A 27,967-nucleotide genomic window follows, 5' to 3' on the forward strand; every position below is an offset into this window, starting at 1 on the left:
GTCAAGGTAGGTTCATCAATTGTGACAAATGTATCACTCCGGTAGGGATGTTGATAATGGTGGAGGCTATGACATGTGCAGGCAAGGGGCATATGGGATAGCTCTGCACCTTCCTTTCAATTTTGCTGTGAACCAAAAACTGCTCAAAAAATATTGTCTTTAATTTTTTTAAGTGTACCAGTCAGGTAGGATAGGTTATGCTGCTGTAACAAACAACCCCTCAATCTCCATGTTTAAAATAACAAATTTATTTCTTGCTTATGCTGTATGTCCACCGTGGGTCACCAGGGGGCCTCTGCTTACCACTGGAGGTGGTGACCAGACTGCTCGAGTAGCCAGCTCTCAAATATTCCAGGTCACCATGACCATGGGAAAGAGTGTTCTGGAGGATCTCACAACAGCTATTTTTTTTTAAGAGACAGAATCTTGCTCTGTCACCCAGGCTGGGGTGCAGTGGTGCAATCATAGCTCACTGCAGCCTCAAGCTCCTAGGCTCAAGTGATCCTCCCACCTCAGCCCCCCAAGTAGCTGGGACTACAGGTGCATGCCACCATACCTGGCTAATGTTTAAATTTTTTTCAGAGATGGAATCTCACTATGTTGACCAGGCTGGTTTCAAACTCCTTGCCTTAAATGATCATCCTGCCTTGGTCTCCCAAAGTGCTGAGATTGCAGGCATGAGGTACCATGCCCAGCCACAAATGGCTGTGAAATCTTTTACCTGCAGTGACACAAGTTACTTCTGCTCACAGTCACATAGCTGAATCCACTCATGAGGGACAAGGAATGGCTATCCTCCCATTCTCTCTTGGAGGTGGAGAGAATAGCGCTGTTGGCTACCACAAAAAGCAAACTGCTGGCAAATGAAGATCATTTGCAATCATGATAACTGCTGTGAAGAAGTGAAAGCAGCGTTTTTGGGTAACAAGAGATGGAGGAGCCTGGTGCAGGGAGCTCCTTTAGATGGGACAGTCTGGGTAAGTGACATGTGAGCTGTTGGAGTAGTAATTTTAGGTTAAGGGAGGCAGGCGACTGCCTTGCTAAACTTTTTCTGATTGTTTGGAGAACCGTCTACACTTACCAGATTCAATTGTTGAGAAACCCCAAAAGATCTTGGCTCTACTCCTCATTGGGTCAATCTTTTCCTGAGAATCCCTGGAAAAGCCGCTTTCCTTTGTGAATCTCAGTTTCCCTAGCTGTGAAATGGGCACACTGGCCCTGCTAAGAGGTCCTGAATGAGCTGCCCCAAGGACAGATCTAGCCTGAAGAAACATTGCTCTTGCCATTAGTTCAATTAATGGCCAGCATTTAAAATTGCGGTTTTTTTCCTTGAAAAAATATTTTAAAATGAGCTATTTCTAATAAAAATTCAGGTCTCCAGCTTCTCTGAAAATATCAGCAGAAAGGGTGAGCCCAGGTCAGGACTCCCACACAGCCCTGTGACTGCACTGAGTGTTGGCTGCCTCCTTCTTCAGTCTCATCCGGGTCAGCAGAGTCACACATGGCCCAAGTCAACCTGTGCCAGACCAAGTGAGTTTGCCATCCCTGAGTCAGAGGGCCTCTGAGGTTCCTGGTAGCTTTAGCAATCTTGGGTGTCTATAGATTTCCTCTGTTAGAGCCAAAGAAATTCTCTCTGTGTGTGTGTGTGTGTGTGTGCATGTACATGAAAGTGTGAGTTGTGTGTTTGTGTATGCATGTGTGTATTTGAGTGTAAGAGTGTGAGTGTGTGTTTGAGTATGTGTGTGTCAGTGCCTCAGTGCATGTGAGTGTCTGGCTGTGTGTGTGCATGAACATGTGAGTGAGTAGCATGTACGTGTGGCATGTGTGCATGTATACAGGTGTGAATGTACGTGTTAGGGCATGCATGTGATGGGTGTCTGAGTGGGTATGTGTTTTAGGGAGGAAGGTATCCACTAAAGTTGGAGGTTGCAAACCAAGACTATGGCTGATTGACTCAGAATAAAAACATTCATTTTTGAGACCCAGAGCAGGGGCAAGAAACACTACACCTCTTTTCCTCTAGTTCCTTAATCAAGCCTTTTAACCCATGTAAGCTTATCCCCTATCTTGCAAATCGTAATCCTGACTCATTAAACCTCAGAACTGAATAGGGAATGGAAGTAGAAGGCATTTCTCTTTGAAAGGACTGAAGTGATAGCAGGTCTGTCTCAGGGGAGGGGCAAGGATGGAGAAAGAGACAAGTCCCAGCTGATGAAAGAGGCCAGGCGTAGCCACCCTCCCCCTCACAACTGTGTCTCCAGGGAGCTCCTGGAGCAGGAATTAGGCAAACAGGTTTGGATGAGCCTGCCGGCCTCCAGGTCTGCACTGCTTCAGGGCAGCGCTCCTCACTCCAGCCCTCCCCAGAGCTCCTGGGCCTGGTCACTATAAACCCCACTGCTGCTGCTGGATGAGAGACCCCAGGAGTTGCAGAGGGTGGTCGCAGGCCTTGGAGAGCAGCCTAAGTCACATAATCCTCTGACGCCAGCCTTGGCGTGAGTCCCTCCCTCCTCCTGTACCCGAGAGCTCAAAGACTCAGGCCTGGGGCCTGGAAGTGGGAGTGACAGAGGGCATTGCAGGCTGCCCATTTTGGGGGCTTCAAGGGACACCCTGCCCTACCCCAAAGGAAGGAAATCAAGCTTCGAACGCGGCCACTGACAGAGCCGCCTTGCCCAGATTCCAGGCCTGTGGTTTTTTCTTCCTATTTGTAAGCATTTTGATGAGGTCAGAATTAAAATCAGTTTCCATGGTGAGGAAGGAGGGAGAGACTTAGAAACAGGGACACAGACAGGCACAAAGAGAGAAACAAGAAAAGGGACAGCTGGGAGGGAGGGAGAGAGACAGAGAGACAGAGGGAGAAGAGAGAGGAGAGAAAGGCGGAGAGGCTGGGCCAGGGTAGGAGGCTGTGTCCACCTGCACACATCTCCCACAGTTGGTTTTAGCAAATATGTTGACATGACCCAGATGAAAAGATATCAGGAAGCAGTGGAGATCGAGGCTCTGGGTCCACCTGTGAGAAAGTGAGCAAGGGAGAGGCCTTTGCTCCCACGTGCCCGCCCCAGCTCCCGGCTGTGTGTGTCCCTGAGAGAGGGTGGGGCAGGAAGGGAGAGAGGAAAATGTGGAGAGCAGAAACAAGGGAACGGAAAGATGGGGGAAAAGGGAGCCGAGACCAGACAGAAAAAAAGGCAAAAGGGCAAAAGGGGCTGGAGAGCAAAGCTCTCGAAGATGATGGTGAGGCATGAGCCAGTGGCCACAGTCTCAGCCAGGAGAGGACTCCCCGCCCGCCCCTGGCTGTGCAGCCTGCACCTGGGCCTCAGGACACCTTGCTGGAAATCGGAAGGAGCCTGTCTGTGCAGTGGGGATGGCAATAGGGCTGATGTGGGTGGCGGGTTTGAGGATGCCTCCCCACAAGTCTCAGGAACTTCTCCAGCTCAACCCCTTCCCTGTGAAAGCCCCTCTTGGGGGCACTCAGCTCTAACCTGAATGAACCCACTGAGCGTTTACAGCCACACTCTGAAGGAGCTTGGTTCAGTTACCTGCCATTTTGGATGTGTGACCCAGAGAGGTTGAGAAACTGACCCAGCGTCACACAGCCAACCGGTGTTAGAGCCAAGAGTCAAGCAAGAGCTCCACTCTGAGAAGACAGAGCCCTTTCCCCTGGCCCTGGCCCTGCCCCACCTTGTCCTTCTGGAGCCCCTGCCAGGACAGGACAGTCCAACGCCAAGGGAGCCATAGCTGTCGAAGGGCTCTGTAGGTTCTGCTGAGCTGCCTTCTCAGACTTCAGAAAGCATCCAGTTGCTTGGGGGTCTTACTAAAATGCACATTCCATTTCAGGGGTCTGGGAGGGGCCCCAGGATTCTAGCCATTCCTGGCCAATTGCCAGGTAAGGCTGATGATGCTGGTTTGGGGACTACAGTTTGAGCAGAGAGGGACCAAGCCATCGGACGAGTGGAGTTATTCAGGTCTACGCACTGATTTTTCAAGTCGTGCAGACACTAAAGTGTGGGGGTGGGGAGGGGGCCCTGAGAAATACCCAGCAGAGCAGGGAGGGGTGGAAATGAGGAGGAAGAGGGTCTCAGGATCAGGGGAGGTTGTTAGCTACCGTCACCCCAGGAGCATGCACTGTTGGGACACAGGCATGTCCATTTGGGATCCTGGTGCCCCCTTGATGCTGAGTGACCTGGGGGAAGGCAGTTAACCTGTCTGAGCCTCAGCCTTCTCATCTGTTTAATGGGGACCCATATACCCTCCTTACAGCATTCCTCAGGGACTAAAACAAAATCTGAATTCATTTCCTAGGGATGACATAACAAAGTATCACACATGGGCAGGCTTCAAACAACACAAATTTACTCTCATAGTCCTGGAGGCCAGAAGTCCAAGACCAAGGTGCTGATGGGGCCCTGATCTCTCTGAAGGCTTGAGGGGAGGATCCAGCCCGGGCCTTTTTTCCTGGCCTCGGTGCTGCTGCAGTCTTTGGCATCCTGTGGCTCGTAGCTGCGACCCTCCAATCTCTGCCTGTCGTCACATGACCTTCTCCCTGTGTCGCTGGTCCACAGTGGGGACTCAGAAACAGTCGTTCCCTCCCTTCCTCCCCAGGCGTCTGGTATCAGTTAACTACACATCTCCCTGGCCCTAGCCCTACTGAGGGCAGCAGCATGCCCTGTCCGTCTCTCTAGGGGAAGGCAGATCTAAGTGAACAGGAATGAACCAAATACAACGTGGAGGATCACCAACTGCATGAGTCCCCACCAGGGTCCTCCCCTTGGGGCTGCATTTCCTTCCTTGAACCCCAGATGCACCTCAGGGAGGGAGTGGGGGACTCTGCTGCTCTGTGGGCATCTGGAGCTGCAGCCCCCAGCCCCTTGGCTGCAGAACACATACTTCTTTCGGGCCAGGTCTTCCCTGTCAGAAGCATACTCATGGCCTCATCATCTCAGCATAGAAGAAGGGACCCCGGAGTCCCCGTGTGCCTCGCTTTGCCAACTGCTACACCCACATTATCTCCTGTACTGCTCTCAGCAATGCTCCAGGGCAGTGGATTGCAACCTTGAGTGTGCATGGAAATCTCCAGGAGGGCTCCCTCAGCACAGGCTGCTGGCTCCATCCTAGGGTTCTGGATTCAGCAGGTCAGGGGTGGACCCAGTGATTTGTGTCCCTCTCAAGTTGGCAGGTGATGCCCATGCTGCTGGCCCAGTAAGGTGGGTGCTATTATCTCATGGTAGAAATAAATGGGGAATAGCAGGCTCGAAGAAGTCAGGCGATTTGCCCAAAGCCACCTGGTTGCTAAACGCTGCGTTCACGTGTGGGGTCATCTCGCTTGGATTATGGACCAATCCCCAGCTGATCTTCCTGTTGGCCTATGAGGTCCAATACATCATCTAACCACTCCCCACCCCACACCCTCCCTAGTACCGGGTATCATCCCCCACTTCCTGGCCTCTGTGCTCAGAGACCACGGAGCCTCTGCCCTAAAGGAGAAGGAACAGACTGACAGTGAACACAGCCACTCCAGTGCCAGGCGAGCAGGGCGGGTGCTGCAGACATAGGCACCAGCCAAGAGCTCTGGACACACCTGGGAAAGGGACTACTTCCAGATAGGAAAGAGCAGAATTAAGGAGGGCTTCCCAGAGCAGAGTGGATTCCACATAATATTTGCCTCCACTGCAGCACACTGCGTTCTAGGTCCAGCCTCCTCCCCGTCCCACTAACCTGGATAGTCTAGCTTGAGTGCCCAGTCTTAACCAGTTCTCTCAAGGCCCCCAGGCACAGAAAGGAGGGAGGGAGAAATGAAAGGAGGGTAGGCTGAGGTGGGTGGAGCATCTGAGTTCAGAAGTTCAAGACCAGCCTGGCCAATATGGTGAAACCCTGTCTCTACTGAAAATACAAAAATTAGCCAGGCGTAGTGGTGGGCGCCTGTCCTGTAATCCCACCTACTCAGGAGGCTGAGGCATGAGAATTGCTTAACCCAGGAGGCAGAGGTTGCAGTGATCTAACATCGCGCCACTGCACTCTAGCCTGGGTGACGGAGAAAGACTCAGTCTCAAAAAAAAAAAAAAAAAAAAAAGAAAGAAAGAAAGGAAGGAGAGGCTCTGTTTCTGGGGTGAGAGCCACTCAAGGGTGCTGCTGCAGGGCAGAGCTCTGGTGCGCAGTGACTTTGCAGCCACCCTGGGAGCCACTGTTGGTTTGCAGGACTAGTGGAGGTTAAACACAGCCTCAAGTTGGAAAGCCATTCTTCAATTTCTAATAAAAACCCTGAAGTAGGGATGACGCACAATAAATCAGCCTCCAAGAGTTCCATCTCAGGGTAATCTTTTCAATTATCTGCTTGTGAGGTATGCAGCTCCTGAGATGATCAGAAGTGTGCAGCAAGGATGCCAGCCCTGGCCAGGAGACACCGAGCCTGAACCATGTTTGGCTGAGGGGCCCAGCTGCGGAGCCAAGGGGCCAGAGTTAAAAGGTAGATGAGTGGTAAGGGCAGATCAGACCTCCAAGGAGACGGCTACCAGGAATGGAAAGAAGGTTGGGGACCAGGTAACAGTCCTTTGGGTCAGAACAGGGACTGGTGCATCCACAGCATCTCAGAAAGATGTCTTTGAGCACCCACTAGTTTCCAGGGGCGAGGCACAGAGCAGAGGCAAGGCAAGGCCACCCCCACCCCCCGCCATCGTGGAGCCGGCCTTCCAGCAGTGGAGAGGCACAAAAGACACAGGACAGGGAGCGACCGAAAATAGGCCAAGTGAGATACACAGAAGTGGTCCAGGAAGGCCTTTGTGAAGATCAACATTCGAGCTTCTCCAATCAGCGCTACCACTTATGAGCTGGGTGACTTGGAGGAAGTTAGTTAACCTCTCTGAACCCATGTGAGGGCTCTGCAAAGGAGAGGAGACATCAGGATGTGGTGAGGGCTGTGGAAGACAAGGGTGTTTCCCAGTTGCTTCTTCGCTCACTTCTTGTGCCCAAATCCTCCTCCTTCAAAGAGAGGTCGCTGTCTGCTCTGGCTTCCCCTGATTTCTGAATGGAACATAATTTCTCCTTCTTCTGCCATGTCCCGTTCTCCGAGACAGCCTGTGAGTTCTACTGTGCATCACACGGATTTGGGTTCATGCCCCCACACCTCTACAAGGCTGAGTGAGAACTAGTTTGGACCAAGATCCCAGTGTGACTTGGCCCTGTTGGCCTAGCACAGGATGTGGCTCAGAGACACTCAGCCACTGTCTGCTGCCTGGATGGGTGGGTGGAGAGACGGGTGGATGGTGGGTGGGTGAATGAAAGCCAGGACTTGGGAAAATAAGATCAGAATTAAGGACATGGGGAAAGAGTAGCTTTGCAAGAGAGAAAGAATATTTCTTCCTCAATGACAGAAGAAATTTACTCCAAGGAATAGAGGGGGAATGTGAGCAAACACCTTCATTCATCTTTTCCTTTACTTCAACATGCATTTGGGCTGTATGCTGAGCTTTGGGCATCTAAAGAGACAGGTTTCACGGCTGAATAGGAAATACAACAACTGAATAGACAGTGACTATGTGCTGTGGTCAACACTATTTAGTGCAGAAAGTTTAGGAGACTCGGAGGAGGATCTGCTGATCCCCCCACTAATTAGTAAAAAGAAGGCTGCAGACAAGGCCCCCCCATCACCAGGTGACCCCGCATTCCCAGCACCTCAGTCCCGGCAGCAAGGTGACTTGGCACCATTGCTTTGCCACCTTTGGGCAAGCCTGCCCATGCCCGGGCCTCAGCTCTTGAGCTAATGCCTGCCTGGGGTTCCCAGGGAACTGCCATGAGGCAGATGCTTGCAGATACGTGGGATTTTCTCTGGCTCTGCCATTTGATCCACAGGGGGATGGAATGACTCCCACATCTCAGAGATGAGGCCAAGAAGCTCAGAAGGTGAACTGTTTTACCCACAGTTACCCAGCTGCAGGGCCAAAGAGCCAAATTTTTTATCCAGGACAGGTGATGCTGAACCCCAAGCCCTTCTCACCAGGCTGGGACGCTGCACTGCGTGGATGTTCCGTCTCCGTTGCTAGGGTAACCTCCCTCCCGGCCCAGCAGCCACCCCTCCTGGAGCGTGATTCTTGCACCTGACAGCATAATCTTCTGTGACATCTTAATCAGCACCCCGGCAACCGACAGAACCCGGACACCAGCATCACACTCAGCGCTCCGGGAGCCAGCAGGGCCTGGAGGGCCCACCTCCTCCTCAGCCTTAACCCTTGCCTGCCCACCCCAACCCCTCGTGGAATGGGGGGATGGTGGTTGGTTTTGAAGTCAAACAGATATTGTTTCAGCTTTAAGCTTTACCATGCCACATTTCTAAACTTCGGTTTCCTAATCTGTACAGTGGGGATAATGATGCCCGTCCGGCTAGTGTACAAAATTGGATGAGGGCATTGCAAAAGGACGTGAATGGGCCACAACATCTAAAGGAACTGGGGCACCTGGGAGTTTTCATTTCCATTATTTCACTTGGAGCCAGTGGTTTTCAGAGCGGGGGGCCAGTGGCACCACAGAGCTGCCTGTGAGTAGAAGGGGAGATGCATCTGTCCTGTTGTGGGTTAAATTGTGGCCCCCCCAACCCTCCCCTGCCACAAAAGATATATGAGAGTCCTAACCCCTGGGAACAGTGACCTTATTTGGAAATGGAGTCTTTGCCGAAGTAATCAAATTCAGATAAGGTCCTATTGGAGTAGGTGGACGCTTCATCCAATATGACTGCTGTCCTTCAAGAAGACAGAAATGTGGAAACAGACACACAGAGGGATCGCCATGTGGGATGCACAAGGGAACACCATGAGAGACTGAGTCAGACACTGGAGTGAGCAGCTACAACCCAGGGAACCCCAAGGAATTGCTGGCCACCACCAAAGCCCAGAGAAGCAGGGCAAGCCTCTACCCAGGGTTTCAGAGGGAGACGGCCTTGCCAGTCTCTTGGTTTCAGACTTCCAGCCCTCAGATTGTGGGAAAACACATTACTGCTGTTTTCAGCCATACAATTTGTGGTACTTTGTTAGGACCACCTTAGGAAATGAATATGCATCCTAACAGGACAACTTCGATTCCAAGTCTCGTGTGGTGGGGCCAAAGAGCCCTTGCCCTGGAGTCACACAGACCCTGATGTGCAGTGGGGATCCCACCATGCTGAACGACTTGCCCCATTCTCCCAGAGCTACGGGACCACGATGCCCCCCGTCACAGGTTGGAGGGAAAGAGTGAACGAGGTCCGGGCACGGTGTCTCTCGCCTGTAATCTCAACACTTTGGAAGGCCAAGATGCGTGGATCACTTGAGGTCAGGAGTTTGAGACCAGCCTGGCCAATATGGTGAAACCTCGTCGCTACTAAAAATACAAAAATTAGCCAGGTGTGGTGGTGCAGGCCTGTAGTCCCAGCTACTCGGGAGGCTGAGGCAGGAGAATCGCTTGAACCTGGGAGGCGGGGGTTGCAGTGAGCTGAGATCATCACACCACTGCACTCCAGCCTGGGTGACAGAGCAAGACTCCATCTCAAAATAAATAAATAAATAAATAAATAAAGTGAATGGCATCAAGTCAGTGAAGCACTGGCCCACTTGGCAAGATTGTTAATTATACGACATTATCACAATCGCTGATTTATTTTTCTTTTTGAGGTGCAGTCTTGCTCTGTCGCCCAGGCTGGAGTGCAGTGGTGTGATCTCAACTCACTGCAACCTCCGCCTTCCTGGTTCAAGCGATTCTCCCGCCTCAGCCTCCTGAGTAGTTGGGACTACAGGCGTGTGCCACCATGCCCTGCTAATTTTTGTATTTTTAGTAGAGACAGGGTCTCACCATGTTAGCCAGGCTGGTCTCAATCTCCTGACCTCAGATGATCCGCCCCCCTTGGCCTCCCAAAGTGCTGAGATTACAGGTGTGAGCCACCGCACCTAGCCACAAGCGCTGATTTTTTAAAAGCCCTCATTGGGAGGCCCTGAATGCCCCATCTTAGGGCCTTGCATTCAGTAGCAGTAGGCTGAGCGCCTCAAGGGTTCCTCTTTGAAGGTGGCAACCCCACCTAGGCCCCCACCCCACTAGGGCACAGCAGACCCCGGTGGATCCAGGAGGCGGGTGGCTTTGATGCGCCTTCATTTCCTCCTCTTCCTGCTCCATCTTCCTCCCTCTCTCTCCCTTTCATCCCGGCTCCCTCCCTAGGGGAGACCCAGCCCCTGGCTTGGGATTTCAGAGCAATTCTGTCCCGCCTTTGATATCTTTGCACATGTGGAGAGGGGGCAATCCCAGGGGGCTTTTCCTGCCAGGGAAAAAGGCAACAAAAATGTTTGTTTCCTTTCATTGTACTTTCACAAGCCTGCCTAGTCTTCCCTACAAAGGGGCAGCTTCCTCTTGGAGGAGACTCTTTCAGAGGCTAAAGTCCTCCCTTCTCTTCCAGTAGTTGAATGACCTTGGATGAGCGACTATTCACCCCCATTATATTCTCCATCTGTCAGATGGAGACTGTGATGTAAACCCCATGTGGCTGGGAGGACTAACCAAGGTAATGTGTGTAAAGAGCCTGCCCCTAGTAGGTGTTTGGAAGCTTCATGGTGGTAATCATTATGCCATTAATTTTCTCCACGTTCCTCACATGCGAGAAGCAAACACCATTCAGGAGGACTCTTGCCATAGACCACAGACTCTTGTGCCTCTGTTTTCTCATCTATTGAATGGGTTCATAGTGCCTGGGTATCAGGGTTGCTGGACACATTCAATGAGATACTAACAGTGCCTCACACTGAGCCAGCATCACACCTCTGCTTTCCCTTCTCACCACCTGTCTTTGAATTGTGAAGGCAAAGCCTAAATGTCAGCCCAAATTTGCCTTTCAAGACAGAAACTCCACAACACCCCCCACCCCCACCACAGGCAACCGGGGGCTACCAAGATCACTGCCATCCCCAGGAGAGTCCCAGGGAGGGTTTGCTGTCTGCACCCAGAGTGCAGAACTGGCACTCCTGCCTAGGAAACGGGGAGGGGCGTGCTGGGCTTACTTCTGTTTTCTGGAAAGCTTGTAAACAGGAAAATGAAGGCTTGAGCAGGCAGCTGCAACGACTATCATTACAGGGGAGATGGAGTCCATGGAAGCCCATAACGGCCCCCTGACCTCCTCTGACCAAAGGCTGAGTTGGTAGAAGTGTCAGAAGCAGGGAGGGTTGCCGGAGCCTTGGGGTCACTCACACCCTGCATATCCTGCACCCTCCACCCCCCTGCCTTTGTCCTTTCACCTGCACCTGCTTAGCCCCCTCCACTCAGCTTGGCCAAATCCCGACCCTTCCTCCAGGTCCACATCTCCAGGGCCGCTCTTAGCTCAGAGTCTTTCTGAGGGAAACTGCCTGGCACCAGTCCGTGTTGAAGGTGTCAGCCTATTGGAACCTGCCCTCTCAGATAGGTAAGATCCAAAGATGTCAGCCGCAAGCTTCCAGTCCCTGGATGAGAACTTAGAGTAGGGCCAAGAGAGCTCTCTCAGGTATGTGAAAGAGCTGCTTAGCTGTGTGACCTCTGGGTTAGTGTGTTGACCTCTCTGGGCCTTGTCCTTCCACTTACAAAAAGACCTAAACATCTCCTGGCCAGCTCATAGAGTCACTGAAAGGCTCAGATAAAATACAGGATGGGAAGTGGCTTTATCTTCTGGAGTGAATGATAAAAACCTGGAATTAAGGTTGACCCTGCTGCACTAACTCCACTCAAGAGCAGAAAACTTCTGGAAAGTCCACTCACCTTTTTTAGTCAGAAAAAAAAAAAACAACAAAAAAACAGTTCTGCAGGTTTCCTTGGTGCCAGGCACTGCACCATGCACTTCCCATGCTTTCTGTAGTTTATTCCTCACAACAATATAAGATGCACAGACTTATTAGGCCCATTTTACAGATGACAAAACTGAGGCTATAGAGGCCATGAAGTTACAGTGCGTATGTGAGACATTTATTCAGTCATTCAAAAATATTTATTGGGCCAGTTGCGGTGGCTCACGCCTGTAATCCCAGCACTTTGAGAGGTCAAGGCGGGAGGATCGCTTGAGCCCAGGAGTTTGAGACCAGCCTGGGCAACATAGCGAGACCCAGTCTCTTTTTAAAATTTTTTATTAATTATTTACTATGTGCTGGGCTCTGTGCTGACTACTGGGGAGACAGCCATGAGCAAAACATAGTACCTGTCCACATGTGGCTGAAGTTCTAATGGGGAGAGACAGATAAGCAACTAACCAGAGATAATAATAAAATGTTGGATGGCAATGCATACTCTGGAGAAAGTTAAAGCAGGATTTTGGAAAAGATTGCCTGGCTGGGGAGAGGGTTGTCTAGTATTTTAGTGAAGGTGGTCAGGGAAGCATTCTCTGAGGACATACCCACTAAGCAGAAACCCTGAAGGGAGGGATCAGGAGGATATCTGTGGGAACAGCATGTCAGGCAGAGGGAACAGCCACACGGGAGTCCTGAGGCAGGAGTGTGCTTGGCATGTGGGTCTAACTGCAATCCAAGAGTGTGACTGTTGGATTGAGCCAGACATGGTGGTGGAGGTGGCAGGGAACGGGAGATGCGGAGAAGGGAGGACGGCTCCTGTAGAGACCTGAGGCCCAGGACTTCGGGACTGGGAGGAGGAAGAGGCCAAGGACTTACATCCCCAGATGCGCTGTGCTCTGCCGCTGCCTACACTGGGCAGGTGCTGGATCCTGACTCAGATCCTGAGTTAAGAGCTATTCAGTGGCCTGGTGGGATAGAAAGAACACCTGCCTGGGGCCACAAGCCTGGGTGGGGACACAGTCTCCAGACATTGGCCAATCTCAGTCATTGGACCTCTCTGGCCCCTGGCTTTCTCGCCTGTAGGGCAGCACAGGAGTAACCACATTCCGGGGCTGTTGTGATGGCAAAAAGGACTTGCTGGGCACCTGGATTTTCAGATCACTGAGCCCTGAGTCTGTGCCCACACAGCTCCAAGAACTTTAGAAGTGTTCATGTTCATTGAATCCTCACCATAATGGCAAACCAAGGCCCAAAGAACGTCAGTAATTTGTCCAAGGCCACAAAGCTGAAAGGGGTGGGGGCAGGATTTGAACCCATGGAGCAAGCTCCAGAGACTCCTCTGTGTTCTAAGAGTGGATTCACCCTGCTCTCCCCACACCACCTTTGCCTCCTCTGTGCTCTTGGCTGCCCCACCCACCATCTGAACCGCTGTGCCTTACCTGGCAACTGCCCTCCAGGCTGGCTCAGGTTACTGAAGGCCCTGAGGGGTCTGTTTAAACAAGTGTGTCTGAGCAGGAAAGTCAAAGAGACAGGGACCCTCCGGGCGCTGAGGGGACCACCCCAGGGACTACAGCCTGAATCTGATAAGGCTGGATCTATTTTCACTTAATTGGACTGTGGCCAAGGGTCCAGCATTTGATCAGATAGGGGGTCTCCCCAGGGATGGAATCTTCCATCAGATGGGGTGGTCCTACACCCTGGCTGGGACAGGAGAAGCTAGAGGGGGTTGGGAGAACCCTAGACTGGGGAGAGGCTGTCAGGAGAATAATTCTCTCTCCTCCACCAGAAAACCCAGGGAGGGAAACCTGGCCTTCCTGGAAAGACGGGGCCACTGGATGACAGACGCTGCCACATCTTCCTAGGGGATGCTCAGCCCACCTTCCACTCCCACAGCCCAGCTCTGGACACTGGCGAGGAAGCAAGCGGCTGTGGGAGGTGCCTTGGGCAGGGGAAGGCTGCCTTGTGGGGACAGCCACTGGGCTTGGAGGTCACACAGATCATTCTGTGTGACACCAAGCATGTTGCCTGACCTTTCTGGGCCTCAGCTTCCTTTTCAGTGGAGGAAGGGGTAGCTAGACCCATCTTCAAGTGCAAAGGAGATTTAGGCCAGGCTCAGGGGCTCCCACCTGTAATCCCAGCACTTAGGGAGGCCAAGGTGGGAGAATCGCTTGAGCCCAGGAGTCTGCGACCAGCCTGGACAACATAGTGAGACCCAGGCTCTACCGAATACTTTTAAAAATTAGCCAGGTATGGTGGTTCGAGCCTGTGGTTCCAGCTACTCAGGAGGCTGAGGTGTGAGGGTCGCTTGAGTCCAAGAGGTTGAGGATGCAGTGAGCTGAGATTGTGCCACTGCACTCCAGCCTGGCCAACAGAGTGAGACCCTGTCTGGAAAAAAAAAAAAAAAAAGGAAATTTAAACACAGGAGAATAAGCTACCGAAGAGGGGTGACTTCAGCTTTCTTTTTAAAATGTCATTCAAGAAACCTGGGACCAACACTCCAATGGATTGTCCCCAACCCTAACCCCCAGGCTCTGCCCTCAGGCCTTACCCACCACCCGGGTGCAGCTGCCCATATGTTTGGGGTGCTCTGGGTTAGGAGCCCAGCCTGGTTGATGAAGGGTTGACTGCCTGGTAGTCAGCCATTCATCCCCCTCTGAGGTCCCCTCTTTATGTCAGGCTTTGTACTGGTCTCAGGGACCCATATGGGCTCACTCTGAGGAGCCACCCCATGGCCACACACAGGGATTGGCACTGGGGCAGCGAGAAGCAGCCTTCCCTGCCTTTCCTCATCAGGAAGTCCACAGCAGGGAGTCTCCGAAGTGGGACTCATCCCTGAAAATCCCGAGCGCCAGGAGACGTCTTGTTTTATGCTCCTTTTTGCTCGTATAAACTGTTTAACTCCAGTTTCTCCTGCATAACCTAGGGATAAAAATAGAGTTGCTGTGAAGATGAAGTAAATGAAGACATGCTGAGAACTCAGAACAACGCTTGGCAACAGTAATTGTTTAATACGTGCTATTATTAACAAGTAATAGTCTTTCCCATCCTGGTATTCAGCTCCTTGATTTTCCAGACTCCTCGGACTCAGATCCTCCTCACCCAACTTCAAGGAGGAAGACAGAATGGGGCTTAGCAGGTCCATTACACAGATGCAGCAACTGGGATCTGGGGATGGTCACTAGCTGAGGTCAGAGGTGGAGGCTGGCACCCCCACCCCCTCCCGCAGAGCCCAGTGGGGTGAGGTGGAGGGTAGGGCTTCTCAGGGAATCACTGTCCTGCCCCTTCTGCGTGCCCAGGGGACCTGCGAACACTCTAGACCTGGGGGGCCCAAGAAGTTCAAACCTCCCTGACCTTCGTGGTACAGGGAAAACCAAAGTCTGAGACGTTTGCAGGCCCCAGGGCCAACCCACCTCATGCAGAGGCTAGAAGGCCTACAACCAGAGCCCCCCTCCAGCCCGTGGTATACGGGAAACCACGCAATGGCACCTATGGGTTCCAGTCCTGGTGGTCCCTATGCACAGCTGCGCTGCCAGGACCTCGCCACTTCAACTCCCGGGGTGTCCACTTTCTCATCTGAAAAGTGGGGTGGTCACCTCTGGACTGTCATGAGAATTAACTTTGGCGGTGCATGTGAAGCACCCAGCAAGTAAGAGGAGCACGTAGTCAAAGTAGGTTTTCTCCAGGCGCCCCCTGCTCCAAGAACTGAACTCGGGCGCCTCCTCCCACACCAGAGAGCAGAAGAGATGCTCTCTGAACCTACCGGGCCAGAGTGCTGCAGGGTGCCCCACACTTTACAGCCTTTTGCACCCCAGTCCTCACGAATGGGCATGGCCCTCTGCGAGGTCGCGAAGGTGCAGGCCACATGGCACAGGTGGCTTCTGCTTAGAGAGGCTGGGGAATGCCCCAGGTATCTTGACCTTCCTGGGGACGGGGAAGGATAAGCACCAAGTGGGGGCTGCAAAACCTGCACTTAGTATCAGTTCTGCCAGTTTCTGGCTCAGAGACCTCCGGGAAAATGACTCCCGTTTGGGCCTCAGTGTCCCTTTCTATGGAGGATGGATGTTGCGCCAAATGTCTAGTTTCTTGCAACCCCGGTGTTTTTTTTGTTTTGTTTTGTGTTTGTTTTGTTTTGTTCTCCTGGGCCTAAAGGAAGGCCTGCGGAGGAGTGAGCATGAACATCCCGCCCCTCCCCTCCCCTCCCCAGTCCCTCAGCTTGGTCTCAGCTGTGTCAGTGACCCTGGCTCAGAAAAGTGCAAGGACCAAAAAGGGTCACACAGCACCCACACCCCACCCCGGGGTGGGGAAGGACTGCCCTATTCTCCATAGCAAACCCAGGTTGGGGTGGGGGCTGTGGTGAGCAAGAGGCGGTGGCTGGGGGAAAGAGGCAAGGGAGGAAGAACCTTGTCCAGGTGTCACCGAGGTCACAGGGACCCTGGGTCATTGGTTCTCCACCTCCCCAACTTTCCCCACTGAAAGGCAAACTCAATGGACTCTCCCCTTCCTCTCTTCGTACTCAGCGAGCACTGATTGAGCACTTACTGCATGTGGGAGGCTTCCCAGTCACCGTCTCCTCTGGACCTCTGTTCTCTACCCAGAAAGGCCCTCCGGTAAGGTGAACACCCCTCCATCTCACTCAAGGGCGAGGAAAGTCAGGCCCAAAGATACAGGGCGTAGGCCTGCTGCTGCCTATCCTGGGCCGGCTGAGGTCTGGGCGGTAAGCGCAAGAGGGAAGAGGGCAGAAACTCCAGGTGGCAGGGGCTGTGGCTCTTCCAGCCCTGAAGACAGGGAGCCAGCAGCCAAAAGAGAACGTGCTGGGGTCCAGCCTGGGTGCCCTGAGCTGTGCCAGCTGCCCCTCCAGAAAACAGACGCTGCCTGCTGCCTCCAGCGGTGGGCTGCCTGCGGGTTCCCGGTGACCCTTTCCCCCTCCTGGAGATGCTCTGCATTGCCCCGCTCGCACACTCCAGTTCCCATCCTCGTGTTCTAGGACGGCAGGGATGAATCACTATAGGCTGGCTCTCTCTAGCTCAGCCCGGCCTGCTGCGGCCTGGGGCCACTGCTCCTGGGTCCTCAGGACTGCCTGGGGGAAGGTAGTGCATTGTGCAGCGCGCGGTCCAGAAGTGAAAAGGGAGGCGCGGAGATAAGCTGCCGGCGGAAGTTCCCTCTCCTGCCTGGGCCGACCCGGCGCTTTACTGCTTCTCACGAAGGTGCGCCGGCTGCTCCAGAAATCGCAGACTGCCTCCAGGAAGAACTTGCTGGAGTCACAGCAGCTTCTCAGCGACTTGACAGCAGTGATTCAGACTTCAACTTGGGCGGAGGGGCGGGGGAGGAGAAAGAGATTTCCAGAGAAAACGACTGAGCGGTAGGGAGGGGAAGAGAGACCGAGCCACGCGCCTCGAGAAGCAGTGCAGAGAGCGGAAGAGACAGAGGCTGCGAGACCTACCCACAGAGACCAAGAGAGACGCTCGGAGGGGAGACCGCCTTAGGCGCAGAGATTCAGAGGCAGACAGACAGGCAGACAGAAGGATACAGGAAAGGAATGTCGCCGAAAGGCAGGGACAAACCTGAGTCCCAGAAAAATAAGAGACAACTCCCACACACCAGGCTGTCCGCGGGCCGCCTTGTCACAGAAAGGCAGCTCCCCAGCCCCGCAGAGTCCCGACAGCTGCCCCCGCGAAGGTGGGGCGAGGGGCGGCTTTTCCGGGGGAAACTCTCTCCCTGGACGCCCCTCCTTTCCAGCCTCAGCTCTGGCCTTTCTCGGCATCCCCAGCTTGCCTTCAGTTTCACTCCATATCTGGGTCTCTCAGAGGCCTCGGGAGGTCTTCCGTTCTCTCTGTCGCCGTGTCCACGGAAGGAGCCTCCCCAACCCTCTGTGGCTCCGCGCCTCTTGGGCCGGAGCATCTCTGTCTTCCGGAGTCTCTTGATCATTGCTCCTGCCCGTCCTCGCCCATTTCAAAGACGACCAACAGAGGCTTAGAAAAATTGGCCCTCCACCCTCGGCTGGTTACCTGGCTCGTAGCCCTGGGTCTGTTTTCTTCTCAGAGAGACCTGAGATCCTCGACATTTCCTAAATTCATGGAAAACCTCGACAGTGTTCAGGACTCCCAAAGAAGGTGGTGGGCGGGAGGGGGAGGAGCATAAGAGAAAAGTAGTGAGTACGGGCCCAAAGACCCATTTCGTGGATTGGGGGAGGGACGGGGAGGCTGTTCCACGAAAATACTGAGAGCATGAGAGCATCCTATGTTTTTTTTTTTTTTTTTTTTTTGAGATAGGGTCTTGCTTTGTCACCTAGGCTGGAGCAGTGGAGCGATCGCGGCTCACTGCAGCCTTGACCTCCTGGGCTCAAAAGATCCTCCCGCTTCAGCCTCCCCAGTAGCCGGGACCACTGGCGCGCGCCACCACGCCTGGCCTTTATTTTATTTTATTTATTATTATTATTTTTTGGTACAGGCGAGGTCCCTCTATTTTGCCCAAGCTGGTATTGAACTCCTGGGCTCAAGCGATCTTCCCGACTTTCAAAGTACTGGGATTACAGGCGTAAGCCATCGTCCCTACTCGCTATATTTTAGTGCATTTCCTCTTTTGAAAGCGCCCCGAGAGAGGCTGCACCCAGGAATGAAGGGAGTGGATTCCAGGCGTTCAGACCCACCTGCGAACAGATCCTGATGCCACTACTAACTAGCTGTGTGACCCTGAGCAAGACACTTAACCTCTCTGATTCTGTTCTTTCATCTGAGGGGGAGCGGGGGGAAATCTGACAATAATACCTACCTCCCAGAGTACAGAGTAGAGAGGATTATAAAGAGATAAAGTTTGTGAAACCTCTGACAAGGGGCCTGACACCCAACTCAATACAAGTCAGTTATCTTCCTCGCATTCCCTCCCACCCCCTGCCGGAACTGAGATGGGGCCCACGGCGGGCTGCGCAGGGCAGAGCTGGAGGGGAGAAGGGCCAGCCTTCCTCCGCCGGGGTGGGCAGAGCCAGAATGGAAGACGTTTGGTCGACCCTGGAGCCTCGGGGTCTGCCTGACATCTCCGGGCTTAAATAACCGTGCGCCTTTGTTATTCGTCAGCAGCAAAGTGGTTCGTTACGCCTGATTGGTCTAATTGCTTTGAAATGGGATATATTATCTATAATTATAGAGCTCTAGGAGAGCCGGCCGGCCTCTCCTTTCATCTTCCCAAGTGCACCCTCACGTCGCGATCACATTAATTTGGGCCATTTGAAAGCGAGGGGGGAGGCTGGGGCTCTCTTCTCCTGCTGATCCTGGTCCTGCTCACCCCCTTCCAAATTTAAAGACACAAGGAAGCCCGGGCCTGGGACGGTAGGGAGAGCAGACAGTGGGGGAAGGGGGGGGGGGTGGGGGCAGAAGCCGGGAGTGGGGCTTGTCAATTTCGCCTTGGCGCCGGGTGAAATCCACTCCACGCGGACTGTACCACCGCACAAGTTGCACCCACTTTGAGGAGGATTTAGCAAGAAGGAGGAAACATTTTCACAAAGAGTTTGTATTTTGACTTCGCTGTTAAAAGGAGGTACCAAAACTCCTGAAAAGCGCAAGTTCTGCCTAGGTCTCCGGAAAGCAGAACGCTGTTTTTCTCCAGGTCTGTGTCGTGGATCTTCAACCAGTAGCTGAAGACTCCCTGGAGTTCTCAGGGCTCGGAGTTTTTCTCTGGAACGCTGTGAAGTCCTCCCGAAGTTAGTGACTCCCAGTTTGCTGAACCTGACTCCCAGCCCCTCACTTCTAGGCGACAGAGGCCAAAAGAGTGGAGATGGCTGGGTCGGGAGGCCCCCTTCGCAGATTGGGAGACCCCGTGACAGTGCTTTCTGTCTGCCCGTCAACCCCCACCCCCTCCCCGGGACAAAATACCTCCTCTCTCTCCCCCTCCGTCGCCCTCCTGGCGATTGGTGAATTCCCACCAAAATAAATCGTTCCGGGTAATCGGTTTTCATAGCACATTCATTCTATTAAAGAGGACTGTTTGGGGCTCGCTAATTGCCGGGGGATCCCACTGAGCTGCACATTTTTAAAAAATGCACGCGGGATTCCTGGGCCGAGGTCACAAAATGCAGTGGAAAGAGAGGGAGGGAGCATAAACAAAAACCCGACGGAGGCGACAACAAATGCCGAAGTGAGAAGTCAGCCTCCAGGCTCTTCCAACCGGTGCAGCAATACCCAGATAGGGATAACCGTCTTTAGGACGGGGTCCTTCTAAAAATTAATCTTTGCACGGGAGTGGTGTATACTTAGCAACACCACCATCCCTGCCTCCATCCCCCCAACCCCCGCAAAATTTTGGGGGAAAAAAAAAACCAGCTAAACCCACCACCAGTTTAGTTGCCCAGAAAGTAGACGAAGGATAATCCATCTTCAGGATCCGAAATGCAGAGGCCCTCTACTTGGGGGCGGGGAGTGCTTTAGGATGCCTGAAAATGAGGGGAGATGGAGCGAGAGGGGAGGGGAGAGAAGTCTAGAGGATGGAAGCGGAGCGCCAGTCCCCGAGCTTTATCTGCTGGGGCCAGCCCTGCCCTTGCCAGGCATGAATTACTGCCCGGCTTTCTCGGCTGCAGCGGCAGCGCAGAGAAATGCCGGGGGTACAAACGCCTCGAGGTTAGAGCTGGCGGCGAGATAACAGGCTCAGCCCCAGGGCCTGCCTGCTCGCTGAACCCCTGGGCCGGGAAATCGGTAAAGTCCTAGACAAAAAATAACTCAGAGAAGTCTCCCTCTCACTGCCCCTGTAACTCGTGGCTTTCCTCCCGCGGGAACAAACAACGCCCTGGGAAACAGGCAGACATTTTATTTCTTTTATCTGACTCCTTTCTCTTGAGACTGCCGGCACCTTTCTTTCTCTCGCAATCCAGGGGCAGAGCAATGGGAAAGCCCCGCGCTTTTCTGACACGGAATTGAGTCTGAACCCCCTTCTCTGCCGATGCACTCTTCTCGCCTAGCAACGTTTACACGCGGTTAACCTGCCGCGCGGGGCGACAGCAGACACGAACCCAGGCCGAACCTATAAAGAAGACACCGTGGCGTTCAGACCCGGCTCGGGAAGCCGAGGGGCTGGCTGCGGGGCCGGTGCTGCGGGGCCAGGCGATTTGCTCCCCGGAGGCAGGGGCGCGACTTCAAGGGCCCGTGCGCCGGGTGCAGCCTTTGATCCGGCCGCCGCTGGCGCCTTAAAACAACATCCTAGTCTGCCTATTAGGCGCGCTGAGGAATCGTGACACATTGTTTATCCCCGCAATTAGCGATGCGGCCCTTTTCAGGCCGCCCGCCCCCGGGCCCCCCGCCCCCCCCCCCCCCCCCGCGGCGGAGTCCAGGCCTTGCTGCGCTCCTCAACTGCGACCGCCGCAAGTTCCACACTAGCCCCCGCTGCACCATGCGGCTTCGCTCTCTGAGTTCAAGCCCCCGCTCAGCCCTAAAGCAGGGGTTCTTAACTGGAGGACTCCACTTGGGACCAGAGCCCCCGAAGTTGTCTGCCCCGTTGCTTGTAATGTGTTTTTGTAGGTGTGCATTTTTCTAGGGAAGAAGTTCTTGGCTGTATCAGATTCTTAAAGAGACCTGGGAGCAAAACATTTGCAGAAGGAGGGCGAGGGCGGAACTAAGCAAAGACTCGAAAAGGCACACTGCTCGCTTTTTAAATGGCCCCAAAAGCAGATAGGCCTCTGTTTCCTCTCCCCCTTTAACCTGGCCACAAAGGGAGATTCTGGCTGGGTGCGGAGGGGGTTGTTCTGACGAGAGTTTGATTAGAACGGGAGCAATAGAAGTTCGCCGTCCTGGAATCGCTTGAACCTGGGAGGCGGAGGTTGGAGTGAACTGAGATCGCGCCATTGCACTCCAGCCTGGGCGACAAGAGCAAAACTCCGTCTCAAAGAAGAGGAAGAGGAAGAAGAAGGAGGAGGAGGAGGAGGAGATGAGGAGGAGAGGAGGAAGAGGAGGATGAGGAGGAGGAGAAAAGAGGAAGAAAAAGAGGAAGAGGAAGAAGAAGAAGAAGAGGAAGAAGAGGAAGATGCTGTTGTTCGCTGTCCTGGCTGGGCTACCAGCAAGGTATTTGCCCTACAGCCTTGCTCAGCCTCAGCGAGCTGAGCTTCAAAATTGGGTCTTAAGGTCTTCTATCCTTGTACCCTCTCGGGCAAACCTCCGGAGGCCCCGGTGCACCGCGCGTCCAGCCGGCCCAACTCGAGCTAGAAGCCCCAACCACTGCCCAGTGCCTGAGTTGCAGTCTTGGGTCCTTTAGAAACCTGGAGATGTGCGTAAAATTCAGATGCCGGTATTCCCGAACTTCCCCAGGCCTCAGCATATCTCGGCGGCCTGTGGACAGATGGGAGGCTACCAATCGCTCCGGCGTCCGCAGCCCGACCCCTGCCGCCAGACCCCGGACGTCTTCCGGATAATAAAGTTCCCGCTCTAATTCATTTTCCCTAATCTGGACGCCCCTAATCTACAGCTTTTATTGCGCCCAGTTAAAAGTCGAGGGAATTCGCTGTCCCTCCGCGCTCGGATAATTACCCCTAAATGGCCACGGCAGCCCCTTGTGTTTCCTGGAGATTAGAACCCCGCAGTCATCAATGGCAGGGCCGAGTGAGCCGCCAATCACCTCCGCTCACTCCCTGAGAGCCGCTGGCCTGGGCCGCAGGAGGAGAGGCCATAAAGCGACAGGCGCAGAAAATGGCCAAGCCCCGACCCCGCTTCAGGCAGATCTTGCATCTCCCCTGACCCCAACTCATTTTTTCTGTCTTTATTATTATTATTATTATTAACAGCAAACATTAAATCACGTTTTCTCCGAAATTGGCAAAAGAAGAGTTCTCAAGTCCCACACTAGAGTCCACCTCCAGGAACTTTCCTCTTTTCCCAGCCCCCTCCCCCAAATGTGCCTCTCCCCTCCAGGATCAGCGGCCCAGAGATAGGGACATGTCATTGTTTCCGAGGACGCGTTGTTTGAGGTCACCTTAAGGCCAGATCGGTGTTTCATTGACGATTCTGTTGGTTTTATTTCAGTAAGTTCTATATCAAAAGGATCTGGCAGCTCCTTTCCCCGCCCGGGCGCTATAGGTGTTGTGACCCTTGGGACAGAAGTTCAGAGCGAGGGTGGGGGGGGGGGAATACACATCGTGTATGAAAACCGACTGCAGATTCTAGATAATCTTACGTATTCTCACATCCTTGGCACTACAGGAAGCTAGCTTCTTCCCGCAAGGTTTACTCCAGCTCTAAGTTAGAGACAAAGGCCCACTTTTACCTCGAGGTAAAGTTTACAAGATTTCAGAACAGGAAGAAAATGAAGGTTTGGTTTTGTTTCGTTTCTTGAAAAGAAGTTAATAGTATGTCTTTCTCCTAGGATAAATAGCCATGCGTATTTTAAAAACTATATATAAAAGGAATGTGTAAGAAATAACCTCAACTCAAATTATTGTGGTAGAAGAAGAGGGGGGGTCAGACAGTGGAGGGGGGCACAGGGAAACCCAGCCACAGACTAAAGAGAAAGGTAAAAGAAGCAGTAGAGGAGAGAAACAAGGACGGGGAAAAAAAGAGGAGCGGAAAAGAGGGCTGAGGAGGGGAGGGGAGGGGAGGAGAGGAGGGCAGAAGAGAAGGAACGAGAACAAGGGAAAATCCCCCGGGAACACAGAAAGATAGAGACCCAGGGGACTCCCGCAGAGAGGGCCTCTTGGGCTTCAGCGCAGAGGAAAGTTTCCCGGGCACCCCCTCTCCTCCCCTGCCCTCCGCCGCCTGGGCCCTGCCCTGCGTGCCCCCAGGCCCAGCGCGCCTCCGGGCGAGTCCCCAGGAGCGCGGCCCAATGGATCGCTCCGGGCCCGCCCCCTCGCGCGCTGATTGGCCGCCGCCCCGCTGGCCTCGCCTTATTAGCAAGTTCTCTGGGGAGCCGCGGTAGGGCCCGGAGCCGGCGAGTGCTCCCGGGAACTCTGCCTGCGCGGCGGCAGCGACCGGAGGCCAGGCCCAGCACGCCGGAGCTGGCCTGCTGGGGAGGGGCGGGAGGCGCGCGCGGGAGGGTCCGCCCGGCCAGGGCCCCGGGCGCTCGCAGAGGCCGGCCGCGCTCCCAGCCCGCCCGGAGCCCATGCCCGGCGGCTGGCCAGTGCTGCGGCAGAAGGGGGGGCCCGGCTCTGCATGGCCCCGGCTGCTGACATGACTTCTTTGCCACTCGGTGTCAAAGTGGAGGACTCCGCCTTCGGCAAGCCGGCGGGGGGAGGCGCGGGCCAGGCCCCCAGCGCCGCCGCGGCCACGGCAGCCGCCATGGGCGCGGACGAGGAGGGGGCCAAGCCCAAAGTGTCCCCTTCGCTCCTGCCCTTCAGCGTGGAGGCGCTCATGGCCGACCACAGGAAGCCGGGGGCCAAGGAGAGCGCCCTGGCGCCCTCCGAGGGCGTGCAGGCGGCGGGTGGCTCGGCGCAGCCACTGGGCGTCCCGCCGGGGTCGCTGGGAGCCCCGGACGCGCCCTCTTCGCCGCGGCCGCTCGGCCATTTCTCGGTGGGGGGACTCCTCAAGCTGCCAGAAGATGCGCTCGTCAAAGCCGAGAGCCCCGAGAAGCCCGAGAGGACCCCGTGGATGCAGAGCCCCCGCTTCTCCCCGCCGCCGGCCAGTGAGTAGCCAGAACCCAGGCGCAGAGGGAGGGGGCCGGGTGGGGGCCGGGTGGGGTGTGGGACCCGAGGGCTCCTGGTGGCCTCCGGCGCCTGCGTACCTGCAGCCGGTGCTAGGGAGCCGTGGGCTGCAAGGCCGGGTCTTGCGCCTCCCTCCACTCCCACCCAGGAAGAAGGTTCCAGACCTCCTCGCCTTGGCCCAGAGACGCTGCGGGTGGGAGTTAACGGATAGGACACCGATGTCTGGGCACCCTGTCCTCCTGCCCCCACCAAACGACCTCAGGGGTCCATGATCCCTCATCTGATCCCAAACTCTGTTTCATCGGCTTCACCCCAGCGGATGAATGTGTGTGGTGCGGTATCTTCCCTGCACCCGGAGTTTCACTTTCTCGCAGTAGGAGCTGGTGTCCCCCAGCCCCTCTTCCCTTTCAAGTACCTCTTTGCCTAGAGGTTCCGAAGCTCCTACAGAATTCTACCTCCCCATGCCCTTTGAGTTTGAGGCAGATAGTTGGTGCTTTGGGCGGATGGATGATTCAGGGGTGGGGACATTCAGGTTCCAGTGGAGGGGGCGGGGCACCAAGTCAATTAGGGGAAGGCGCCCCCGCTAATCCTATGGGAAGCTCCCAAACGTCTAGGACTGAGCCATTAAAGTGGACTCCAGGTGCCCAAGGCGGTTCGCTCCAAGGCCTCACGGCCCCCTGGCTGCTCTACTCAGAGAACACGCTCGGAGATATTTCAGGAGCACGGGAAATTCCCAAGTTTTCCTCGTTTCCTCCGATTATTTTGCTCGGCATAATAGCAGCCAGATTTCAATGGCGTGATGCTGAGGAATGATTTTTATCTGGGGATTAAACGTCTTTGAAAGGCCAGTCCCTCCCTAAGCCTAATGGCCGGAGAAGGTGGCCCCGCTCTGGGTTGTCGCCGCTGAAGGGAGTGACGTTTCTCTCGGCGCCCGCCCCTCGGGCGGCCCGGCGGAAAGCTAGTTGGGGGCCAAGCGCTTCCCGGACTCCCGGTGGCCTCCAGCAGGGAAGAAGCGGGGTGTTAACACGAGATTTCGTTTGACTCACATCCTGGTGGTCTGAAAGTCCAAAGGATCGTTGTGTTTTCTTTGTTTTGTTTTGTTTTTTCTGTTTGTTTGTGGTTGTTTTTTAGAGAGGTGTGAAAAAATGCATACTTAGGCAAAACCCGCGTGGTGAAACATCTTCGATTTGAATTCACTTTCTGCCGGGAAAGCTGCTGCATAGGCAAAGTGTCCTTTCCAACGCTTAGGGCCTTGGGCCCCAAGACCCCGAAGTCAAAGCGATCCCGGCTGTGTTGGGATAATTTGTTCCACATTTTATCCGGGGGCAGTCCCCAGCAGACCCCATCCCCGACCTGCACTAGTCCTGCGCTCTGATGCTTCTTCACTGTCCACCCTTGAGGTTTATTTTGAAGCCAAAAGAAAAAGACAGCTGGGCATGTTGATGTCTGCTGACTATGCCACAGGTTGAGGGGAGAGGCGATCTCAACACTCCCCCCGCAACAACATCAACACACACACACACACACACACACAAACGTTTGAGTGGGGCCAGAGGGCCCTGGCGCCAGGGGTGAACGCGATCCAACAGAGGACTGAGACAATCTAAAGAAAAAGCCCATTAGAATAAAGCAGCCCCTCGTTCTCCGCTCCAGATGACACTTTCTGTTTCTAAGAGGGCTGGCCACAGTGCACCCTCCATGATGGTCTGCGCTGCTCCATCTCTGGTCTGCGGGAACTACTCCTAGAATCCCGTAGGAGCGAAGTGTTCCGGGGAAAGTGTAGAATTTGATTTGGATTCTATGCCACAAAACTGCCTAGCCCCACACTGAAGCACTCCGTGGGCACTGATAAATGTTTGGCCAACGCGTAAAACTAAATGTGCCCTTGGGCTGGGCGCAGGGCCTCTTTCTGCATGTTCGTCAACTGTATTAACATCCACCTTTCCTCTGGATGGCCCTGGGAGGAGGCCCGCCATGAAGGCCTTCCTAAGCCGCCGGGCAGCACAAAGGTGATTTCACATCTTCCCAGCTGTTTAGGCCTAAGATGTGGACATCGAGCCTTCAACGTGGGTATTTTTCTCCTGGAATCTTAGTTTCTTCATTTGCAAAAAGTAGACAGGAACTTCTCCCCTGCGGGGTTGCAATGGGAATTGGAGAAAATATATTTCAAGTGCCTTGCGCGATGCCCGGCACCGAGGCACTTGGCGGCACTCAATATCTGGTATTGTTTGGCTATTATTACTACTTCTTGGGCTGATCATGCTCCAATGCTTCTCTCTTAACCCCTTGCTTTTTTTTTCTTTCGGCCCTCAGGGCGGCTGAGCCCCCCAGCCTGCACCCTCCGCAAACACAAGACGAACCGTAAGCCGCGGACGCCCTTCACCACCGCGCAGCTGCTGGCGCTGGAGCGCAAGTTCCGCCAGAAGCAGTACCTGTCCATCGCCGAGCGCGCGGAGTTCTCCAGCTCGCTCAGCCTCACTGAGACGCAGGTGAAGATATGGTTCCAGAACCGCCGCGCCAAGGCAAAGAGACTACAAGAGGCAGAGCTGGAGAAGCTGAAGATGGCCGCCAAGCCCATGCTGCCACCGGCTGCCTTCGGCCTCTCCTTCCCTCTCGGCGGCCCCGCAGCTGTAGCGGCCGCGGCGGGTGCCTCGCTCTACGGTGCCTCTGGCCCCTTCCAGCGCGCCGCGCTGCCTGTGGCGCCCGTGGGACTCTACACGGCCCATGTGGGCTACAGCATGTACCACCTGACATAGAGGGTCCCAGGTCGCCCACCTGTGGGCCAGCCGATTCCTCCAGCCCTGGTGCTGTACCCCCGACGTGCTCCCCTGCTCGGCACCGCCAGCCGCCTTCCCTTTAACCCTCACACTGCTCCAGTTTCACCTCTTTGCTCCCTGAGTTCACTCTCCGAAGTCTGATCCCTGCCAAAAAGTGGCTGGAAGAGTCCCTTAGTACTCTTCTAGCATTTAGATCTACACTCTCGAGTTAAAGATGGGGAAACTGAGGGCAGAGAGGTTAACAGATTTATCTAAGGTCCCCAGCAGAATTGACAGTTGAACAGAGCTAGAGGCCATGTCTCCTGCATAGCTTTTCCCTGTCCTGACACCAGGCAAGAAAAGCGCAGAGAAATCGGTGTCTGACGATTTTGGAAATGAGAACAATCTCAAAAAAAAAAAAAAAAAAAAAAAAAAAAAAAAAAAAGAAAAGAGAAAAAAAAGACTAGCCAGCCAGGAAGATGAATCCTAGCTTCTTCCATTGGAAAATTTAAGACAAGTTCAACAACAAAACATTTGCTCTGGGGGGCAGGGAAAACACAGATGTGTTGCAAAGGTAGGTTGAAGGGACCTCTCTCTTACCAGTACCAGAAACACAATTGTAAAATTAAAAAAAAAAAAAAACTCTTTCTATTTAACAGTACATTTGTGTGGCTCTCAAACATCCCTTTGGAAGGGATTGTGTGTACTATGTAATATACTGTATATTTGAAATTTTATTATCATTTATATTATAGCTATATTTGTTAAATAAATTAATTTTAAGCTACAAAAATTATCTCTTTACTGATTGAGTCTTTTATTTTAATTTTGCTTCTTGCTATCTCTTTATGTGTACA

The 27,967-nt window shown here is 54.0% G+C and overlaps 1 protein-coding gene and 1 long non-coding RNA gene across 2 annotated transcripts, besides 8 other annotated features; both read left to right on the forward strand.

The window, feature by feature from the left end:
• Positions 1-8,403: 8,403 nt before the first annotated feature.
• On the forward strand, positions 8,404-14,794 carry LINC01396 (long intergenic non-protein coding RNA 1396). The gene is made up of 4 exons (NR_125765.1): positions 8,404-8,521; positions 10,406-10,507; positions 11,291-11,476; positions 14,674-14,794. It is a non-coding gene; the product is annotated as a long intergenic non-protein coding RNA 1396 (long non-coding RNA).
• Positions 16,137-17,094: an enhancer, noted in NCBI's record as "H3K4me1 hESC enhancer chr4:4853897-4854854 (GRCh37/hg19 assembly coordinates)". NCBI's record gives its function as "activates a minimal SCP1, AML or CMV promoter by ChIP-STARR-seq in naive and primed H9 embryonic stem cells {active_cell/tissue: H9 hESC(naive and primed)}" and the evidence as "EXISTENCE:reporter gene assay evidence [ECO:0000049][PMID:30033119]".
• Positions 17,089-17,178: an enhancer, noted in NCBI's record as "active region_21234". NCBI's record gives its function as "activates an Ori minimal core promoter by ATAC-STARR-seq in GM12878 lymphoblastoid cells {active_cell/tissue: GM12878}" and the evidence as "EXISTENCE:reporter gene assay evidence [ECO:0000049][PMID:35858748]".
• Positions 17,089-18,051: a biological region, named in NCBI's record as "H3K4me1 hESC enhancer GRCh37_chr4:4854855-4855811".
• Positions 17,095-18,051: an enhancer, noted in NCBI's record as "H3K4me1 hESC enhancer chr4:4854855-4855811 (GRCh37/hg19 assembly coordinates)". NCBI's record gives its function as "activates a minimal SCP1, AML or CMV promoter by ChIP-STARR-seq in naive H9 embryonic stem cells {active_cell/tissue: H9 hESC(naive)}" and the evidence as "EXISTENCE:reporter gene assay evidence [ECO:0000049][PMID:30033119]".
• Positions 23,454-23,513: a silencer, noted in NCBI's record as "silent region_15217". NCBI's record gives its function as "represses an Ori minimal core promoter by ATAC-STARR-seq in GM12878 lymphoblastoid cells {active_cell/tissue: GM12878}" and the evidence as "EXISTENCE:reporter gene assay evidence [ECO:0000049][PMID:35858748]".
• Positions 23,534-23,773: a silencer, noted in NCBI's record as "silent region_15218". NCBI's record gives its function as "represses an Ori minimal core promoter by ATAC-STARR-seq in GM12878 lymphoblastoid cells {active_cell/tissue: GM12878}" and the evidence as "EXISTENCE:reporter gene assay evidence [ECO:0000049][PMID:35858748]".
• On the forward strand, positions 23,632-27,903 carry MSX1 (msh homeobox 1). Its single transcript, NM_002448.3, has 2 exons — positions 23,632-24,335; positions 26,668-27,903. The coding sequence occupies exons 1-2, from the start codon at positions 23,867-23,869 to the stop codon at positions 27,108-27,110; spliced, it is 912 nt and encodes a 303-aa protein (NP_002439.2). The 5' UTR covers positions 23,632-23,866; the 3' UTR covers positions 27,111-27,903.
• Positions 23,784-24,223: a silencer, noted in NCBI's record as "silent region_15219". NCBI's record gives its function as "represses an Ori minimal core promoter by ATAC-STARR-seq in GM12878 lymphoblastoid cells {active_cell/tissue: GM12878}" and the evidence as "EXISTENCE:reporter gene assay evidence [ECO:0000049][PMID:35858748]".
• Positions 26,277-26,948: an enhancer, noted in NCBI's record as "H3K27ac-H3K4me1 hESC enhancer chr4:4864037-4864708 (GRCh37/hg19 assembly coordinates)". NCBI's record gives its function as "activates a minimal SCP1, AML or CMV promoter by ChIP-STARR-seq in naive H9 embryonic stem cells {active_cell/tissue: H9 hESC(naive)}" and the evidence as "EXISTENCE:reporter gene assay evidence [ECO:0000049][PMID:30033119]".

This window comes from Homo sapiens, chromosome 4 (assembly GCF_000001405.40).
Source record: "Homo sapiens chromosome 4, GRCh38.p14 Primary Assembly".
Classification (NCBI taxonomy): domain Eukaryota; kingdom Metazoa; phylum Chordata; class Mammalia; order Primates; family Hominidae; genus Homo; species Homo sapiens.